This window comes from Homo sapiens, chromosome 22, assembly GCF_000001405.40.
Source record: "Homo sapiens chromosome 22, GRCh38.p14 Primary Assembly".
NCBI lineage: Eukaryota > Metazoa > Chordata > Mammalia > Primates > Hominidae > Homo > Homo sapiens.
Genome location: NC_000022.11, coordinates 17368610 through 17387276, shown reverse-complemented (window position 1 = coordinate 17387276; position 18667 = coordinate 17368610). Strand labels below are relative to the sequence as shown.

Sequence of the window (18667 nt, the reverse complement as noted above, 5' to 3'; positions counted from 1 at the left end):
GGCAAGGAGGGGCAGGTACAGCTGCCAGATAACCTCTGAAAATTTCTGTAGAACCAGTGGAGAAATGAGACAAAAGAAGGCTTTCTGTTGAGCTGTAACTCCCTCTGGCATGGGGAACCTGTTATTAAACATAACACAGAACATAAATACCTGAATAGCTTATTTGTATACAAATTATCATTACAAAAGGATCACAAAGTAACATTTAGTAGTCCTACAAAACATTAAACATGTAACAGAGAGAAACTAAAAACTGAAGTATTCCAAACAATCAACAGTCAAACAAGAATAAATCTAAAATTCTAATGAAAGAAAGGCACATCTCTGACCAGGTACAGTGGCTCACACCTGTAATCCCAGCACTGTAGGAGGCTGAGGCGGGTGGATCACCTGAGTTCAGGAGTTCGAGACCAGCCTGACCAATATGATGAAACCCTGTCTCTACTACAATTACAAAAATTAGCTGGGCGTGGTGGCATGCGCCTGTAATCCCAGCTACTTGGGAGGCTGAGACAGGGCAATGGCTTGAACCCAGGAGGTGGAGGTTGCAGTGAGCTGAGATCCCGCCATTGCACTCGAGCCTGGACAAGAGTGAAACTCCGTCTCAAAAAAAAAAAAAAAGGCACATTTCTGTGGCTGGATTTTCATTTCCATTTTACTCAACAGAAAGCTAAAATACTGAGCAACTGACAGTCCTAGGGTGACATAACCACATCCCAACAATTAGAGAGCGGTGGCACAAAGAAGGGGATTGATTACTGGTATAAAACATGGCGCAGAGTTTGGAAACAGGCTGAGAAAGGGGGCCCTACAACTGACCTCTTCAATACAACACCAAATGAAGGAACTGAGATTAATTTAACTTCTTCTTGTTACAATCGCTATATATTCTTTGTGAAAAAAGTTTTTTTTTAAAACGCCCTTCCTTTCTCACCATGCTCTTAAGCTTCTCTGTTTGACAGGTCTTATCCTCTCTCCTTCCAGCAGAATGAAGTTTTTTTAAGTCTCAGCCTCTCCCTCTCCGGTCAGAGTAACTCAAATCCCTTCTCCGAAGTCATCTTTGACCCCTTCAAATCACCAACTCAAAGGCTCTTTTCCGTTGTCATTTTCCTAATACTTCTCTGCATCATTCAGCAATGCAGACCTTGTCGCTGCGGAGTCTGTCCTGTGACCATGAGTGGTACCACCGTATGAGGGCTCAATGACACCTACCATGGGGCTGCCTGGCCTGCCAGGAGCCCCATTCCTCCGGCTTACATGATGTAGGGTAATCCGCAGTGCTGAAGGCACTGTTATTCCATCATTCGCAGCCAAAAATATCCTAAGCGACGCAACCTTCATCACATGCTCCCACCCTGGGGGTCATCCAGTCCCACCTACTCTTTCTTCAATAGCACCAGTGAGAAATGTCCTTTCCTGTTACCACTACCATCAGCGGTTCATGCCCCTTCCGCTCTAATACAGGCCCACCTCGTTGTACTGTGTTTCCCTTTACTGAACGTGCAGATATTGCATTTCTTACAAACTGAAGATTTCGTGCCGACCCTGCGAGTAGCAAGTCTATCAGGGCCATTTTTCCAACAGTATGTGCTCACTTCATGTCTCTGTGTTGCATTTTGGTAATTCTCACAATATTTCAAACATTTTCATGATTATTATTAAATCTGTTATGTTGATCTGTGACTAGTGATCTTGGATATTACAACTGTAAATGTTTTGGGGCACCAAGGATTGTGCCCACATAAAACAGCAAACTCAATTGATAAATGCGTGTGTTCTGTCTGCTCCACAGACTGGCCAGTTCCCTGTCTCCCTCTCCTTGGGCTTCCCTATTCCCAGAAGCACATTTAAACCAGGCCAATTAATAATCCTACAATGGCCTTTAAGTGTTCAAGTGTAAGGAAGAGCACCATGTCTCTCACTTTAAATCAAAAGCTAGAAATGATTAAGCTTCATGAAGAAGGCGTGCTGAAAGCTGAAACAGGCCAAAAGCTAGGCCTCTTGAGCCAGTTAGCCAAGTTGTGAATGCAAAGGAAAAGTTATTGAAGGAAATAAAAAGCACTGCTCCAGTGAACACAGTAATGAGAAGGCAAAACAGCCTTATTACTGATAAGGAGAAAGTCTGAGTGGCCTGGAGAACAGATCAAAGCAGCCACAACATTCCCTGAAGCCAAAGCCTAATCCAGAGCAAGGCCCTTACGCTTCAATTCTACGAAGGCTTAGAAAGGTGAGGAAACTGCAGAAGAAAAGTTGGAGGCTAGCAGAGGTTGGTTCGTGAAGCTTTAGGAAATGTAACGTAAACATGCAAGACAAGGCCTCAAGTGTGGATACAGAAGCTGCAGCAAGTTATCCAGAAGATCTAGCTAAGATCATTAACGAGGATGAATACACAACAGATTTTCACTGTAGGTGAAACAGCCTTTTATTGAAAGAAAATGCCACCTAGGACTTTAATAGCTAGAGAGGAGAAGTCAATGCCCCACTTCAAAGCTTCAAAGGACAGGCTGATTCTCTTAGGGGCTGGTGACTTACTGGAAGCCAGTGCTCACTCACCATTCTGAAAATCCTACGGCCCTTGAAAACTGTGCTAATGTATTCTGCCTGTGCTCTCTAAATGGGAAAACAAAACCTGGATAACAGCACATCTGTTTACAGCATGGTTTAGTCAGTATTTTAAGCCTACTTTTGAGACCTACTGCTCAGAAAAAAGTCACTACTTTCAAAATATTACTGCTAACTGACAATATACTTTGTCACCCAAGAGCTCTGATGGAGATATACAAGGAGATTAATGTGGTTTTCATGTCTGCTGACACAACATCCATTCTGCAAGCCCATGGATCAAGAAGTAATTTCAACTTTCAAGTCTTATTATTTAAGAAATACATTTTGTGGCTGGGAGCAGTGGCTCACACCTGTAATCCTAACACTTTAGGAGGCCAAGATGGGAGAACTGCGTGAGGCCAGGAAGTCAAGACCAGTCTGGGCAACACAGCGAGACCCCATCTCTACAAAAAATAAAATAAATACATTTTGTAAGGCAATAGCTGCCATAGATAGTGATTCTTCTGATGAATCTGGGCAAAGCAAATTTAGAACCTCTCAGAAAGGATTCATGATTCTAGATGCCATTAAGAACATTCATAATTCATGGGAGGAGGTCCAAATATCCATATTAACAGGAGTTTGGAAGAAGCTGATTCCAACCTTCGTGGATGACTTTGAGGGGTTCAAGACTTCAGTGGAGGAAAGAAATACAGATGCGATAGATACAGCAAAAGAAATAGAATTAGAAGTGGACCTGGGCCAGGCACAGTAGCTCACACCTGTAATCCCAGCACTTTGGGAGGCCGAGGTAGGTGGATCACCTGAGGTCAGGAGTCTGAGACCAGCCTGGCCAACATAGTGAAACCCTGTCTATAGTAAAAATCCAAAAAAAAGAAAATTAGCCAGACGTGGTGGTGCATGTCTGTAATCCCAGCTACTCGGGAGGCTGAGGGAGGAGAATTGCTTGAACCCAGGAAGCGGAGTTTGCAGTGAGCTGAGAGCGTACTGCCACTGCGCTCCAGCCTGGGCAATAGAGCAAGACTCCACTTCAAAAAAAAAAAAAAAAAAAAAAGTGGACCTGAAGATGTGACTAAATTACTGCAACCTCATGATGAAACTGGAATGGAGGAGTTTTTTCTTTTCTTTTCTTTTTTAACCTGGTCTGAACACTAGATTAAAAGGAGTTGGTTCTTATGGATGAACAAAAAAAGTAGTTTGTTGAGGCACAATGTATTATTCCTGGTGAAGATGCTGTCAACATTGTTCAAATGACAACAAAAGATTTAGAATATTCTAAACCAAGCTGATAAAGCAGTGGCAGGGTTTGAGAGGACCAACTTCAATTTTGAAAGAAGTTTTACTGTGGGTTAAATGCTATCAAATGGCATGGCATGCTATGGAGAAATCTTTCATGAAAGGAATATTCAGACATGACCCTGCACTGGCAAAAAGACTATGACTCGTTGAAGGCTCAGATGATCATTAGGATTTTTTTTATTTTTTTGGAGACGGAGTCTTGCTCTGTTTCCCAGGCTAGAGTGCAGTGACATGATCTTGGCTCACTGCAAACTCCGCCTCCCGGGTTCAAGAGATTCTCCTGCCTCAGCCTCTGAGCAGCTGGGATTACAGGTGCCCGCCACCGTGCCCGGCTAATTTTTGTATTTTTTAGTAGAGATGGGGTTTCACCACCTTGGCCAGGCGGTCTCGAACTCCTGACCTCATGATCCACCCGCCTCGGCCTCCCAAAGTGGTGGGATTACAGGCGTGAGCCACCGCGCCTGGCCAATCACTAGGATTTTTAAGTAATAGTTGTTTTGTTGTGTTTGTTTTGAGACAAGGTCTCACTGCTGCCCAGGGGGGAGTGCAGTGTTGCAAACTTGACTTGCAACCTCCGCCTCCTGGACTCAAGCGATCCTCCCATCTCAGCCTCCCATATAGCTGGGACAACAGGTGCACACCACCACACCCAACTGATTTTTGTATTTTTAGTAGAGAAAGCGTTTCACCATGTTGGCCAGGCTGGTCTCAAACTCCTGGGCTCAAGCCATTCGCCAGCCTCAGCCTCCCAAAGTGTTGGGATTACAGGCGTGAGCCACTGTGCCCAGCCTAAAATATTTTTTAATTAAGGTATATACATTATTTTTTAAGACATAATGCTACTGCACACTTAACAGGCTATAGTATACTGTGAACATAACTTTTATATGCCCTGTGAAACCAAAAATTTCATGTGACTCACTTTACTGCAATATTCACCTTATGGCAATAGTCTGGAACTGACCCCAAAATATCTCTGAGGTGTGCCTGTAGCTAAAACTAGTCTTTCTTCTTCCAGTCTGTTCTATTCCAGCTACCAAAACCAGATTTAACCTAAAACACTTAGTATACAGGACTTCTTACTCTAAAACTTGGTTTCTCCACTGCCTGAAGAAAAATGATCACCAGTGAGGCCAGTCTTCAAGGCTTGTTGCAATGTTGCCTCTATGATCTCTCTCTCTCAACCTCTTTTTCTATTAGTCTCTATGAGGAAGGGGCTCTCTGGCCGGGCACAGTGGCTCACGCCTGTAATCCCAGCACTTTGGGAGGCCAAGGCGGGCGGATCACAAGGTCAGGAGATCAAGACCATCCTGGCTAACACGGCGAAACCTCGTCCCTACTAAAAAAAAAAAAAAAAATTAGCAGGGCGTGGTGGCAGGCGCCTGTAGTCCCAGCTACTAGGGAGACTGAGGCAGGAGAATGGGGTGAACCCAGGAGGCGGAGCTCGCAGTGAGCCAAGATTGTGCCACTGCACTCCAGCCTGGGTGACAGAGTGAGACTCCGTCTCAAAAAAAACAAAAAAAAAAAATGTGGGGGCTCTCTGACCTAGCTAACTACACTGACTTACTCAGCATGACCCCCAGAAGCATGATGCTTCCTCCAGGAAGCGTTTCACTCGCCATCTCTGCCTTCCTCTGAACTCTTACAGCAATTATATTCCCTATCGCTCACTGGGCAAACAACATAGGTTTCACAATACCACTGCTGCCCTGCCCCTTTTCGACAGACAAATTCCCCCAGGGCAGCAGCACAACAGGGACTCTGCCACATACCTCTGCAACCTCAGTATTAATAATGATGACAATAACACAGGGAAGGCTGATTGGGTTTTGAGATTTTCCCTTTTTTAAAAACATTTCACTTTAACCTTAAAAATGTGCATGTTACAGAAATCCAAGCGGAGTCAGGGGTAAGGAAGATGGGTTCCATTGCTGAAAGCGATGAAAATCCAGGGTTATGCACTCACTCCAGCAGCACTTGCACTAAAACTGGCCTATGCAAGATGACACGCAGAGTCGTGAAGTGTTCCGTGTTAAAAAAAAAGTCTAGAGTTACGTGTCACAAGCATCCTCAACCAAGCATCCCCCTCCCAATCTTCAACATTCCTGTAAGGAGGGCTGGGGGGCTGCTTTAACACCACAAAGGAAAATGGGGGGAAAGTCTTTCAGAACCAATGTGAAAAGCATCAGTACATTCGTGTGGATACTAACCCAAATCAATGCCAGTGTAAGAGTGGAAAATAATCCAAAATTAAATTCCTTTATTATGACAACAGGTGAAATTTTTTCTTTAAAGCACCTTCCCCCCCGCCCACCCCCGTGTACAACAATGTTCCCTGAACAAAGAACTCCAGGCCTCTGCTATAAAAATTGTCCCCACACCTAAAAGAATTCACAAACAACCTTTCAGGAAGACAGAGAGACATAATGGGGAATGGAGAAGAGAAAGGATTTGCTAAAGAAGTAGATCTGTTAATTTAACACATTTTCTGTCAAGCAAATCAACTGTCCTCAGTGCCATTGTTGCTGAGACAATGAACACTCAGGGTAGGGCTGTTCATTAAAAGGAACCGGCCAGGAGAAGAAAACACTCTTGCAGTCAACAAGACTGCTGAACAGCATTTTTCAATTCTAAGAACTTATCCATTCTCAGGAATTATTAATTGGGTGTGATTTAAAGTTCAACATTGAAAACGTGAAGCAGTGAGCTTAATTGTGGCCCCACGGCTTCCTCTATTTTCATCACTTACTTTTGGAGGTGATGGGTGGGGAGGAGCAAGGGAGGGTACACACAGTCTGTTCTGACAGCCACTCACACATTCAATTCAGGTGGCCACATGCCTCAGTGACACAATGCCAAGTCACACGTCACTCCAGCAAACCCACCCTAGGGAAAAAGTAGACCTGATTTAGCTCATAAAGAGTCTGGGCTGTAGAACCAAAGCTAAAAGCTGACCATTCCAGTGTGAAACTTATACGCATATGACATCATTTAAACCGGCCAATGTCTTTTGTAAAGGCCACATGAGGTCAGGGACTTTAAAAAGGAGAATGAAATACTATCTTCTATATATTTTTGCATAAACCATATTACAGTTTAAATGAGTGTATGGCTAACGAAGTACAAAAAAGAACACATGAGAGAATTATTCAGAGGGGTCATCTGCCCTCTAAAGAGGAGAAAACTGCTTTTGGCTGTAGAACTGATTGACTTCACACCAACTTATTTACACAAATTCTCGGATTTAACACCTTGCTGCAAGCCAGAAATTCTACCCCTCCTCCACTGATGCCCAGAACAAACCCTAGGGCATGAGTAGAGCACAAGGGAGTAGAAGAGAAAACAAAAAAAAACAATGGTCAGACCTTAGTTCCCAGCCAAAGAGATAAAGAATAAAAAACAAGACACAGGGTCTCTGTGGGGATTGAATACCCCAAGATGGAAAAGAAGGACTTGGAGATGGACATTCAATGAAAAACATCTTCAAAAGCCACAGATAATGTGATCTCATTTCCTTGAAGTTCTATGGTATCTTTCTTCCAAGAAGCTCAAAGCCCTTCACAGTGCACTAGACTGCTTGAGTCACACTCACAATACCGTTTGCTCCCCAAACCAAAATAAAAATCTATTTGAATCCATAAAATATTTCACCATGCTTGCTGAGAGCAAAATTAAACATGAAAAATCATTAAAAAACATTTAGAGCAGCTTCAAGCTCATGTGGTCGCTGTGTTCTACACTGAAAATTCTGACGGAATAATGAACTTTACATATGCATATATCGCAAACACACACACACACACACACACACACACACACACACACACACACCTTCAACGTAGGTCCCACTGAACTTTTGACCTGGTCATGGATAACGCCCTCCCCAGTACACCACTGCTCAATGCTCAAGAGATCTGTCAAGAGCCTTGTGCCCTGACAGGCAATGGCAGCCGCTCCAGCCCCAGGCTGCAGCACAAACACCCCTCACCCCTCCTCCCTGCGGCACTAGGCAGCCAGGCCCTGCTTCAGGGAGGCCTTTTGTAGGGGAAGGCCTTTCTTTATCAGCCTCAGTTAGCTTCACAGTTCCCTCCCTACTAGCCCCAAACTCTCTTCTTTCCTTAAATGACGTTCTAGGAAAGAGAAAAAAATTAACAATGCCAGGCGCGGGGGGCTCAGGCCTGTAATCCCAGCACTTTGGGAGGCTGAGGTGGGCTGATCACTGGAGGTCAGGAGTTCGAAACCAGCCTGACCAAGATGGTGAAACCCTGTCTCTACTAAAAATACAAAAATTAGCCGGGTGTGGTGGCACACGCCTGTAATACCAGCTTCTTGAGAGGCTGAGGCAGGAGAATTGCTTGAACCTGGGAAGCAGACATTGCAGTGAGCCGAGATCGCACCACTGCACTCCAGCCTGGGTGGGCCACAAAAGCAAAACTCTGTCTCAAAGAAAGAAAAAAATTAACAAAACATCTGTTTCCCAGGTTTGTGACATGTACAATTGCTGATGACATTCACATCTGGGAGCAACTTTAACTTCCTTAAATTTCCATAAACAAAAATACTAAAGGTTTGCATTTAGGGGAAAAAATGCCCATCACAAGGAAAAACTCATCTATCTCACATAGGGTGTACCTTCTATACAATGACCAACACTGAAAAGTCATCTCTACCTCACACACTAAAGTAATGATTCTCAAAAGCAGGACAATTTCACCCCGCCGGACATATTTGGCAATGTCTGGAGACATTTATATTTGTCATGACTGGGGGTGCTATTGGCACCTGGAGCATAGAGGCCAACAATACTGCTAAACATCTTAAAACGAGGGCCAGGTGGGCCGGCTCACACCTGTAATCCCAACACTTTGGGAGGCCGAGGAGGGGGTCAGGAGATTGCGACCATCCTGGCTAACACGGTGAAACCCCGTCTCTACTAAAAATACAAAAAATTAGCCAGGCGTGGTGGTGGGCACCTGTAGTCCCAGCTACTCAGGAGGCTGAAGCAGGAGAATGGTGTGAACCCGGGAGGCAGAGGTTGCAGTGAGCCGAGATCGTGCCACTGCACTCCAGCCTGGACAACAGAGCAAAACTCCGTCTCCCAAAAACAAAAAAACAAAAAAACAAAAAAACAGCCCAGCGCGGTGGCTCACACCTGTAATCCCAGCACTTTGGGAGGCCAAGGCGGGCGGATCACAAGGTTAGGAGATCCAGACCATCCTGGCTAACACGGTGAAACCCCGTCTCTACTAAAAACACAAAAAATTAGCCGGGCGTGGTGGTGGGCACCTGTAGTCCCAGCTACTCAGGAGGCTGAGGCAGGAGAATGGCGTGAACCCGGGGGGCGGAGGTTGCAGTGAGCCAAGATAGCGCCACTGCACTCCAGCCTGGGCAACAGAGCAAGCCTCCGTCTCAAAAACAAAACAAAACAAAACAAAACGCATATAACATTCCTCATATAACAGCTTCCCACAACAGATTTTCAGATCAAACTATCAATAGTGCTGAGGCTGAGAAACCCAGAGGATTAAAGGAACACAATCTGGAGCTCACTCTTACTTTCCAATCATTCATTCCTTTCTCAATCCTAAGAGCTGCTGAAAAATGACTGTCCCCAAGTTTTCCAATATAAATTGACTGATATTTGTTAGAGGCTAATATAAAGATATAATAAAAGCATCCAAGGGATAGCATCCCATGAAATATGCAAATATGGAGGAAGGGTAGCAGCCATCTGAAAAGGTTATAATAGCAAATGAAAGGCAAACCACAAGCCAGAAGCTGTAAGTGGATCTTATTCAGAGTTCTAGCTATTGATGACATGAGATATAAGAAACAGACTAAGTGAAAGGAAGCCAAAGGCAGTGGCATGTGCCTGGAGTCCCAGCTACTGGGGAGGCTGAGGCAGGAGGATCACTTGAGCTCAGGGGTTCAAATCCAGCCTGGGTAACATAGTGAGATACTGTCTTTAAAAAAAAAAAAAAATGAAGTAAGAATCACATAATTCAATGCCTTCAGCCTCCAGAATTCCTCAAAATCTCAAAGCACAAAATCTTAGGTCACTTTAAGAACACTAGAGATAGTGAACATGTCAATCTTCAAGTCTCAAAAGCTACTTTCAAAGTAGCTTATTTGCAGACAAGATGCCAGAGAAAGAGAAAGAAAAAATTCCTATAATTTGCAAACACACCAAGTATGGATTTGCAGTTTTCACTTGGTACGTAATTAATTTGTAAGATGTGGATCCTAACCTTGACCCTAACTGGTGAGTCAGCAATTTTCTAGATTAGTTAAGAGTGTTATGCATGCTGAGAAACATTTCTAGAATCACAGAACTTTAGACATAGGAACACCTAGGAATCACTGAGTCTATAGATGGGGCACCTGAAACCCACAGTCATCTGCCTAAGAACACAACTTAAAGACAGGTGGGCCCACAATCCAGCTTTCTGATTGCTGCCTTTTGAAAATGTGTTTAGGGGCTGGGAGCGGTGGCTCATGCCTTTAATCCCAGTACTTTGGGAGGCCGAGGAGGGTGGATCACGAGGTCAGGAGTTTGAGACCAGCCTGGCCAACACAGCGAAACCCCATCTCTCCTAAAAATACAAAAATTAGCCAGGCAGATGGCACATGTCTGAAATCCCAGCTACTCGGGAGGCTGAGGCAGGAGAATCACCTGAACCCAGGAGGCAGAGGTTGCAGTGAGCTGAGATCACGCCACTGCACTCCAGCCTGGGCGACAAAGCAAGACTCCATCTCAAAAAAAAAAAACAAAAAAAAAGAAAATGTGTTTAGTCACATCAACTACATCTAAGACCATGTACTTAGAAGCTCCCCTTTGGCTCTGTCCACACACCACATTTTTACCTAAACCACCTTTGCACTGCAGTTTTCCGCACTCTGCCAAGCGCACTGCATTGTGCGAGCCCCAGCACACCATGGAATCCCACACTGAGCTCCCTTGATCAAAGGGGCAGATGATCGGTAGTACTGAATGCTGCCAAGGTGTATTTTAGGCTTTCCTAAGTGTATTCCAGAACATTAAGCAACTTAACTTCCGTTGCAAAGCGAGCCATGTGCTAACGCAGGCCGCCCTTCAGAGATGAGAAGGCGCTGCCCCTTCTAAACTGCAGAAGATCCCAACTGTGAAGCCTTTGAAGCTTCACATGGTGGGCACACACACACACACCAAAGCAGCAAGCCTTTCCTTTCAAAGCGTGGGTATAAATAGAAAGGGGACCTGGTATTCACTTTTAAAGAGTTACATTATGATAGCACATTCTCCCCTTTCAGGATCTTAGCCTGCACAGATCTGTCCTTCTGTAATTCACATCCTGTTCTTTGGCTTTCCTCCTTGGTGAGGGTGCAGATCCTGAATCTTTAGAAGGCATTTTATCCTCTAGTATGTTACATTAAATAGATTAGTGTGACAAAGGACTATTTTTTTTTTTTTTTAGATAAGAGTCTCCCTCTCGCTCTGTTGCCCAGGCTGGAGTGCAATGGCGCGATCTCAGCTCACCGCAACCTCCGTCTCCCGGCTCCAATGAATTCTCCTGCCTCAGCCTCCCAAGTAGCTGGGATTACAGGCATGCACCACCATACCTGGCTAATTTTTGTACTTTTAGTAGAGACGGGGTTTCATCATATTGGTCAGGCTGGTCCTGAACTCCTGACCTCATGATCCGCCCGCCTCGGCCTCCCAAAAGTGCTGGGATTACAGGCGTGAGCCACCAGCGACAAAGCACTATTTTAAAAATCACTTTAAATCACTCACCTCCTCAGGCAGGCCCTACTAATCACCCTGTTTTAAACAGCAACAATCTACACCTCACCATGGCCCTGTGCAAGCCTCCACCCCACTCTACTTGGGGCCTTTTGACATTATATACATTGTCTGTCTCATTGCACTAAAAAGCAAGCAGGTATTTCTCTATTATGTTCACAACCATATCGGCACCTAGTACACTGCCTAATGTAGTAGATGCTTAATAAACATTTGCTGGCTGGGTGTAGTGGCTCATGCCTGTAATCCCAGCACTTTGGGAGGCTGAGGCAGGTGGATCACCTGAGGTCGGGAGTTCGAGGCCAGCCTGACCAACATCGAGAAACCCCCGTCTGTACTAAAAACACAAAAATTAGCCAGGCATGGTGGTGCATGCCTGTAATCCCAGCTACTTGGGAGGCTGAGGCAGGAGAATCGCTTGAACCCAGGAGGTGGAGGTTGCAGTGAGCCGAGATCACACCACTGCACTCTAGCCTGGGCGACAGAGTGAGACTCTGACTCAAAAATATATATATATTTGCTGAAATAAATGAATGAATACTTGAATTTGTCCCTTTGCACTTAGTTCAGAAGTTTTTTAAAAAGATCTTCTGTACCCCACACTATTAAGAGCCAAAGAACTCTAGAGGTGCACTGTGGAATCTGGCCATTCCATATGGGTCTGGCCCGTCATTTTAAAGATAATAAGACCTGCAGAAGCAGTGCGATGTGGTAGAAACAGGCAGAATTTGGCCTCAAAGAACCTGAGATCCAGGTGAGAGTCCCTGTGCAAGCATTAGCCTCTGTAGACTTTCAACTTCCACATCTGTGAAATGAGAATACCCCTGCCTCATGGTGATGGTTAAGGCCGGCTAAGGAGAAAATGGGATAACATTTTGAAAATGTACCAAGTACTACGCAGTGTCATTTATCATCACGTTATTTTGACCTGCCCAAAATCACAGTCAGTTACAGCAGCACAATCAGAATACAAGTTTCCTAACTCCTAGTGCGGCACATCTTGTGTCACAAAAGTAGGCTTCTGAACCCCTAATTGGGGCCAACTTACTCTTTCAACTAGTTCAGGGCTTCTTAACCTCGTATGGGTTGGGGGCTGCTTCCAGAATGTGATGAGAGCAATAGGCCCTCTCCTCCAGCAAAGTGCACACACGTACACCAAAACAAAGTCTCCTACCCTGGTGCCAGGTTTAGGAACCACTGATATGATGGATGTACTTACAAGTTTCTTTTAGCTATTTCTATTACTTAATGTTTAACAATCCATGCATTCAGCACTTGATTAAGGGGCTGGATTCTTCAAGGATGCACCAAGGGTGGAATTCAAGAATCTGAATATTGCCCCTAGATCTCATGCTGATTAGGTAAGAGATCTTACCCACGTACAAACACAACCAGGAAGGAGACACAAGGAAGGCAAAGGATTAAGTACTCAAAGGCAGGACACTCAGGAAAAAAGGTAGACAGGACAGATTATTTTCATCATGCTGCTACTATACAAACCATTCAAATAATTCTACACGACCATTTTGCAACGGCCACCTACAGACACCAATGCAGCCCCACATCCATCATGATTACTGAAAATCATTCTGTCCTCCCTTACCTTACTCAAGTGAGACACTGTATTTACTGTACAGCGCATTTGGCTAGGGGGAAAACAGTAGTAAATCTTGGAGAGGTCAATTAGCCTTTCTTCTTTTCTTGAATCAGGACAAAACTTAGCCAACCTAAGCCACTAGAATGTTAAACAATTATAAAATACTTGATTTAACTGAAGTGGTATAAAATTGCTGGTTCTGAAATATTAACAGATAATCTTCTGAGGCAAAGGAGGCCAGGTAAGAGCTTCTTTGGTAAATTTCCAAGTTCCATGTTAAGCACAAAGTAGGGGCTTAATGATATCAACTACTGAATTCAGTGTCATTCATCTGTTTATATCAACTACTGAATTCAGTGTCATTCATCTGTTTATATCAACTACTGAATTCAGTGTCATTCATCTGTTTTCCAGCTATACCTCAATCTCATCTGAAAAGCAAAAACATCTAACCTACAGAACAATTACACTGCGGGCATATTTAGGAATTTCTAAGTATGTTAACAGTGAATCACTTTTATCCCTGAGTGGAAGGATACAATGTTAACAGTTAACTTTTATCCCTGATTGGTGACCATGGGTGGTTTTAATTTTTACCTGTATTTTATGATAATTTTCACGTTTATATAATTTTTTTTTAGTATTTTTACAACTAGGAATTTTGAACTGAGATAAGGCATTACTATTATATACTTGGCAGGTTTCTTATCTAAAACTAAGAACCAAGTATTCGTTGACTCTTCTAAAGCAATCCTGTATATTCAAGGTTGATTAATAGAGTAAAAAGTTTTTTTATAATACAAAAATTAGCCGGGTGTGCTGGTACATGCCTGTAGTCCCAGCTACTCCGGAGGCTGAGGCGGGAGAATCACCTGAACCTGGGAAGTGGAGGTTGCAGTGAGCCGAGGTCGCGCCACTGTACTCCAGCCTGGGCAACAGAGTGAGACTCCGTCTCAGAAAAAACAAAAAATTTATTTAATACACACAAAAATAAAAATATCCACGTTTTGGGGACAGTTTTCTAAGTGGAAGGTCTTAATCTCTTGGAGAAGTGGGGCATGAATCCTGCCAGCCCTTCACCTGTCTTAGAGATTGCTTCACTTTAGATAAATGGAAGCCGAGTCCTTGAAGACTCTGCTTCCTCAATTTTCTATAAATCCATGAGTTCAGCCTGGTGAGATCTTTCCCACAGCTGAAAACTGGTTTCCTGAAATAACTGATACCCAACTTCTACTACTTGCTATTATTTATCATTTTTACCTTTTAAAGTTGCAGAAAATTAAGACTGTAGGGCCCTTCCACATGGCCTAACAGGTACGGCTCGGCATTTGAATTTTTTATCTTTTAATTAATTAATATATTTATTTTGAGACAGAGTCTCGCCCTGTCGCCCAGGCTGCAGTGCAATGGCACGATCTCGGCTCGCTGCCACCTCCGCCTACCGGGTTCAAGCGATCATCCTGCCTCAGCCTACGGATGTAACTGGGATTACAGGAGCGCGCCACCATGCCTGGCTAACTTTTTATATTTTTAGTAGAAACGGGGTTTCATCATGTTAGCCAGTCTCGTCTCGAACTCCTGACTTCAGGTGATCGACCCACCTCGGCCTCCCAAAGTGCTGGGATTACAGGGGTGAGCCACCGAGTCGAGAAAATACATTCTTAAATCTTAATTTTTAAATCTCACATATAATCATTCCCAATAAAATTCTAATTTTTGATAACTACTAAAAAGCGTAAGTTAAAATTTCCATTAGCCATATCAAAACATACCTGAGATGGATTAGACAAAAACTGCAGGTGAGAAAAGTCACTTTGTTATCCACTGACTGAACATCTCCAAATAAAAACGAGTGTGGATAGTTCTTAAAACCTGCATGTTTGAAGCCAAATATTCATTTCTGTTGCATGTATTTCAAACAGCATGTATTTTAGCCCCAAAAAAGTGTCATTTCCAAGAAACACTGGAGTCAAAAGAGAGGACAGTCATATCAAATAGCCTTGATTATTCACCATGTAAACTACAGTGATTTTTCATGTTATACATATAAATTTGACCTCTTTAATCAGTTTACATTTCCTTTAGGAATTAAACCAGCTAATTCTCAGAAACCACAAGTTTATTGCTTATAACAGAAGACAAGTTATTTACAGGTTACTCTAAATATGCTGCGAGTACTTAAGGCAAAATGAGTTACCTCTAGCTTTTCATCAACAAAATGGGAATACATGGATTTTGAGACATAAAGTTTTTCCAACAATATTTTTAGGATGGGTCTTTAAACTCTGAACTCATAATCCCAGCACCACCTCAACTTTATCTCGCAAGGAAGAAAAGGGACTAGGTGCAAGTTTACCAGCACCCAAGATGGCCCTGTCACAGGCGGCACCTCCCACCACAGCCACCATTTTGACTGCAGGATATAATTAAACTACTCACGATTTTGTACCAACTGAAAGAAAACACAGGACATCAGAGTAACTGAGAAACATCCTTTGACCTTTAGGATTCCCAACTCTTTAGCTTCCGTGTCTCTGTTTCTCTTCTTTCGTCAATATTAACAGTTGTCTAAAGAATATTTTCATTAATAAAATTATGCTTGCTACATTCACGTTCAAACTTTGAAAACAAACGCTGTGGCGCCACGTAAAATGCCCGTTATTACCTCTTCCTAAAAAGTGGAGAAGCCCACATTTCCTCACATTGTTTTAATCAGCTTAAGGAACTAAGAATCGCCAAAAGCCAGTGAGTGGCCCTAGACTATCTGTCTACATTCCTCTTCATTCTCCCATCCCCAACCCTTTTGATCTTTTTATTTTCCTGATTTCATTAACTGCGACGAGAGCAAGTTCCCACACTTCATTCACAGAAGAAGCAACTGATATTTCAGCAAACACGACTAAATCTAAAAATAAAGGTGAGGCAAAGAGCTCTGAAATAAACGAGTTAAAATCAACCCGAAAATGGCACAAAGTAAGATCCGTGGGGCTGGGGAGGCAACAACAACGATTTGCTCTTCCAAAAGAGTGGCTCTAATTTTGATTACTGCGTCGGCGAACCCATCCGCAGAACAGAAAACAAAAACTGACCAACGCAGTTGCCATTCACCTTTGTCCAAAGGCAAAAGGTGAAAAGTCACGACACATATTGCCATAGAAGAGAAGGCAATTCAACCTGCCAACCAATCGACTAATTCTCAGCTCCTTCCAAAAATAAAAATAAAAATAGGAGAAAGGGGGCTGCCGCTGGGCTGGCCGATGCCTGGCCGCCGAGTGCGCCGCGCTCCGCAAGCTCCCGCCACCCGCCGCGCTCCAGGACCCTCGGGTTTCGGCCCAGTTATCACAAAGCCCCGGGCTGGAAAACACCTCCGGCCTGGCCAGAATGGCCAGCCCGTCCTCCGCGCTCGCCCGGGGGGATAATGGTGGCGAGATCAACTCCAAGGGCTCCCGAGCCCCGCGATAAAGAGGCTGGATATTACGGGAGGAAGGACGCTGTGGAAGAATAACGGAGTCCCAAACTTTCCTTCCACACCTCCAGAGCCCCGCGCCCAGGCCCGGTCCCCACCGGCCCGAAGTTGGCCGGAGCGCCTCCCGGGAGCTTGGGGCCTCCGGGAGCCCCTGCCACGCGCCCGCCCGCCAGAGCGGGGCTAGCCCTCCCCGCCGGCCGCGGCCGACTCCCGCCCCGGTCCGAGTTAATCCCGCGCGGGCCCCCCCCCCGCGCCCGGCCCCGCCGGAGCAGCTGGCTCGCGCCTCAATGGCACCGGGCGGCGAGCGCGCGCAGCCCTCGCGCCCACACCCAGCCCCAGCCCACCGGAGAAGTCCCGGGAGGGTCGCCGGGTCCCGCTCCCGCTCCCTCTCCCACAAAAGCACGGGCCCGCCCCGCCCTCGCGGTGCCTGCTCCTCCACCCCAGGATCCGGCGTCCCCGGCCCGACGCCCCTCGGCACCCGGGCACAGCCCGGCGGCCCCCGCCCGCCCTCCTGCCCTTTTGCGCCCTCCTCCTGGCCCCCGACTCCCGGCCGAAGTCCCTCGGGCCCCGGCCCCTCTGCGCGACGGCCCGGGACACCCCGCGCGGGGCAGGGGGAGCAGGGGGCGCAGCGCGCCGCCTCCCGCCCGCGCGGCCACTCACCTCGATCTCGAAGTCGGGCAGGCGGAACGCGGTGCGAAAGAGCGAGCAGAAGTGCGCGATGGCCGGGACCTCCCACCAGGAGCGGAGCTCGCCCAGCCCGGCCGCGCCGCCCTCCTCTGGGCACATCTCCCCGCTGCGGCACAGGCGGCGGCCCCTCGCTGCCCGCGCTCTGCCCGCCGACCTGGGACTCCCGCCGCGGCAGCGCCGCAGCCTCCGCGCGGTCCTCGGCGGGGGCGGCGGGGCGCTCCTCCCGCTGCTGCCGCCGCTCGGCGAGTGCAGGAGCCGAGGGCGGGCGCCGGGCGGGGGGCGGCGGCGCGGGGGCCCGAACTACTGAGGCGGCTGCGGCTGCGGCTGCCCGCGGGGTCCGCGCGCTCGCCCCATCCCGCGGCTGCGGCGGCGGCCGCCCCCAGTCCCCTACAATATAATCGAGTCCCCGCCGGAGAAACAGATGGGGCTAGGGGCGGAGGGGCCGGACGCGGGGCCTGGGGGAGGGGCCGCCCACGAGGAGGGGGCGGGGCTGCCCGCGCCACAACAACAACCCCCGCCCCCGCCCCACCCCCGCCCGGACAGCTGCACCGCCAGGGAGGGGGAGGGGCGGGGCGCGCGCCCCCGGGCCCAGATCCGCAGGACCCAGGGGGCGCGGGCCGCACCCCCGAGAACTCTCACGAGGCGCCCTCCGCCCTCCAGGACTTTGGGACTGGGGAGTTGAAGCACTTTCCCAAGGGAGGACGGCCAGGAGCTCTCCCACCCCCACTTGGCCTGAGTGGTCGCGTCCTTTTAAAGGGCCCGCGGGGTGGTCCTTTCGGTCGGGCTAGAGACAGAAACGTGCACGTGTGGGAGTTCAGTTATTATTGATGCCGAGGGCAGAGCCGGAGCAGGAGCGGGCTGTCCACCCTAGAAATATGAAGCCTAGAGAAGTGAAGTGCTTTCCACCTGTTTCTTAACGCTTTTATTCCAGCCGAGAACGGCGCCCAAGGAGCTCTGAAGTGGCTTTTTTCTCCGAGGGAAGAAGGCGGTGGGGCTGATTGAGCTGGAACGAAGTAGGATGGAGGCTGGAGAGCGGCGGGAAGGGTGGGGTAGGGGGAGGCACCAATCAGCAGCCAAGCGGGAAGAGCGATCCCCAACCCCAGGGAATGGACACGTGTGACCGCCCCGGAGAAGACGGGCTCGGAACCCTGCTACTGCCCGGCCGCTGAAAGAGCTGCCTGGAAGAGTGAGCACAATGTGCTTGGAAGGCGGGGGGATGGGGCAGAGGAGATCGGGAAGCCGGGGACTGTGCTCGGAGGGGAGGAGACCCCCA

The 18667-nt window shown here is 46.9% G+C and overlaps 1 protein-coding gene across 10 annotated transcripts in view, besides 7 other annotated features; it reads right to left on the bottom strand.

The window, feature by feature from the left end:
- Positions 1-18667, bottom strand: part of CECR2 (CECR2 histone acetyl-lysine reader) — a 198203-nt gene that overhangs the window by 170875 nt on the left and 8661 nt on the right. For 9 of the 10 annotated variants that reach the window (NM_001290047.2, XM_017028785.2, XM_011546132.3 and 6 more), the window contains exon 1: positions 17368-17817. The exons of the other annotated variant lie outside the window; for it this stretch is intronic. In NM_001290047.2, the coding sequence (NP_001276976.1) occupies positions 17368-17493 (126 nt within the window). In that variant the 5' untranslated portion in view covers positions 17494-17817. Of the gene's footprint in view, positions 1-17367; positions 17818-18667 lie in introns of those variants that run through there. 10 annotated transcript variants of the gene reach the window in all.
- Positions 6119-6679: an enhancer, noted in NCBI's record as "NANOG hESC enhancer chr22:17860543-17861103 (GRCh37/hg19 assembly coordinates)". NCBI's record gives its function as "activates a minimal SCP1, AML or CMV promoter by ChIP-STARR-seq in naive H9 embryonic stem cells {active_cell/tissue: H9 hESC(naive)}" and the evidence as "EXISTENCE:reporter gene assay evidence [ECO:0000049][PMID:30033119]".
- Positions 7282-7451: an enhancer, noted in NCBI's record as "experimental_62431 CRE fragment used in MPRA reporter constructs". NCBI's record gives its function as "activates a minimal promoter by MPRAs in K562 erythroleukemia cells, with activity observed for both the introgressed and non-introgressed 22:17859856 variant alleles {active_cell/tissue: K562}" and the evidence as "EXISTENCE:reporter gene assay evidence [ECO:0000049][PMID:34662402]".
- Positions 7448-8125: an enhancer, noted in NCBI's record as "H3K27ac-H3K4me1 hESC enhancer chr22:17859097-17859774 (GRCh37/hg19 assembly coordinates)". NCBI's record gives its function as "activates a minimal SCP1, AML or CMV promoter by ChIP-STARR-seq in naive H9 embryonic stem cells {active_cell/tissue: H9 hESC(naive)}" and the evidence as "EXISTENCE:reporter gene assay evidence [ECO:0000049][PMID:30033119]".
- Positions 9904-10851: an enhancer, noted in NCBI's record as "H3K27ac-H3K4me1 hESC enhancer chr22:17856369-17857317 (GRCh37/hg19 assembly coordinates)". NCBI's record gives its function as "activates a minimal SCP1, AML or CMV promoter by ChIP-STARR-seq in naive H9 embryonic stem cells {active_cell/tissue: H9 hESC(naive)}" and the evidence as "EXISTENCE:reporter gene assay evidence [ECO:0000049][PMID:30033119]".
- Positions 10852-11802: an enhancer, noted in NCBI's record as "H3K27ac-H3K4me1 hESC enhancer chr22:17855418-17856368 (GRCh37/hg19 assembly coordinates)". NCBI's record gives its function as "activates a minimal SCP1, AML or CMV promoter by ChIP-STARR-seq in naive H9 embryonic stem cells {active_cell/tissue: H9 hESC(naive)}" and the evidence as "EXISTENCE:reporter gene assay evidence [ECO:0000049][PMID:30033119]".
- Positions 17380-17479: a silencer, noted in NCBI's record as "silent region_13438". NCBI's record gives its function as "represses an Ori minimal core promoter by ATAC-STARR-seq in GM12878 lymphoblastoid cells {active_cell/tissue: GM12878}" and the evidence as "EXISTENCE:reporter gene assay evidence [ECO:0000049][PMID:35858748]".
- Positions 17490-17559: a silencer, noted in NCBI's record as "silent region_13437". NCBI's record gives its function as "represses an Ori minimal core promoter by ATAC-STARR-seq in GM12878 lymphoblastoid cells {active_cell/tissue: GM12878}" and the evidence as "EXISTENCE:reporter gene assay evidence [ECO:0000049][PMID:35858748]".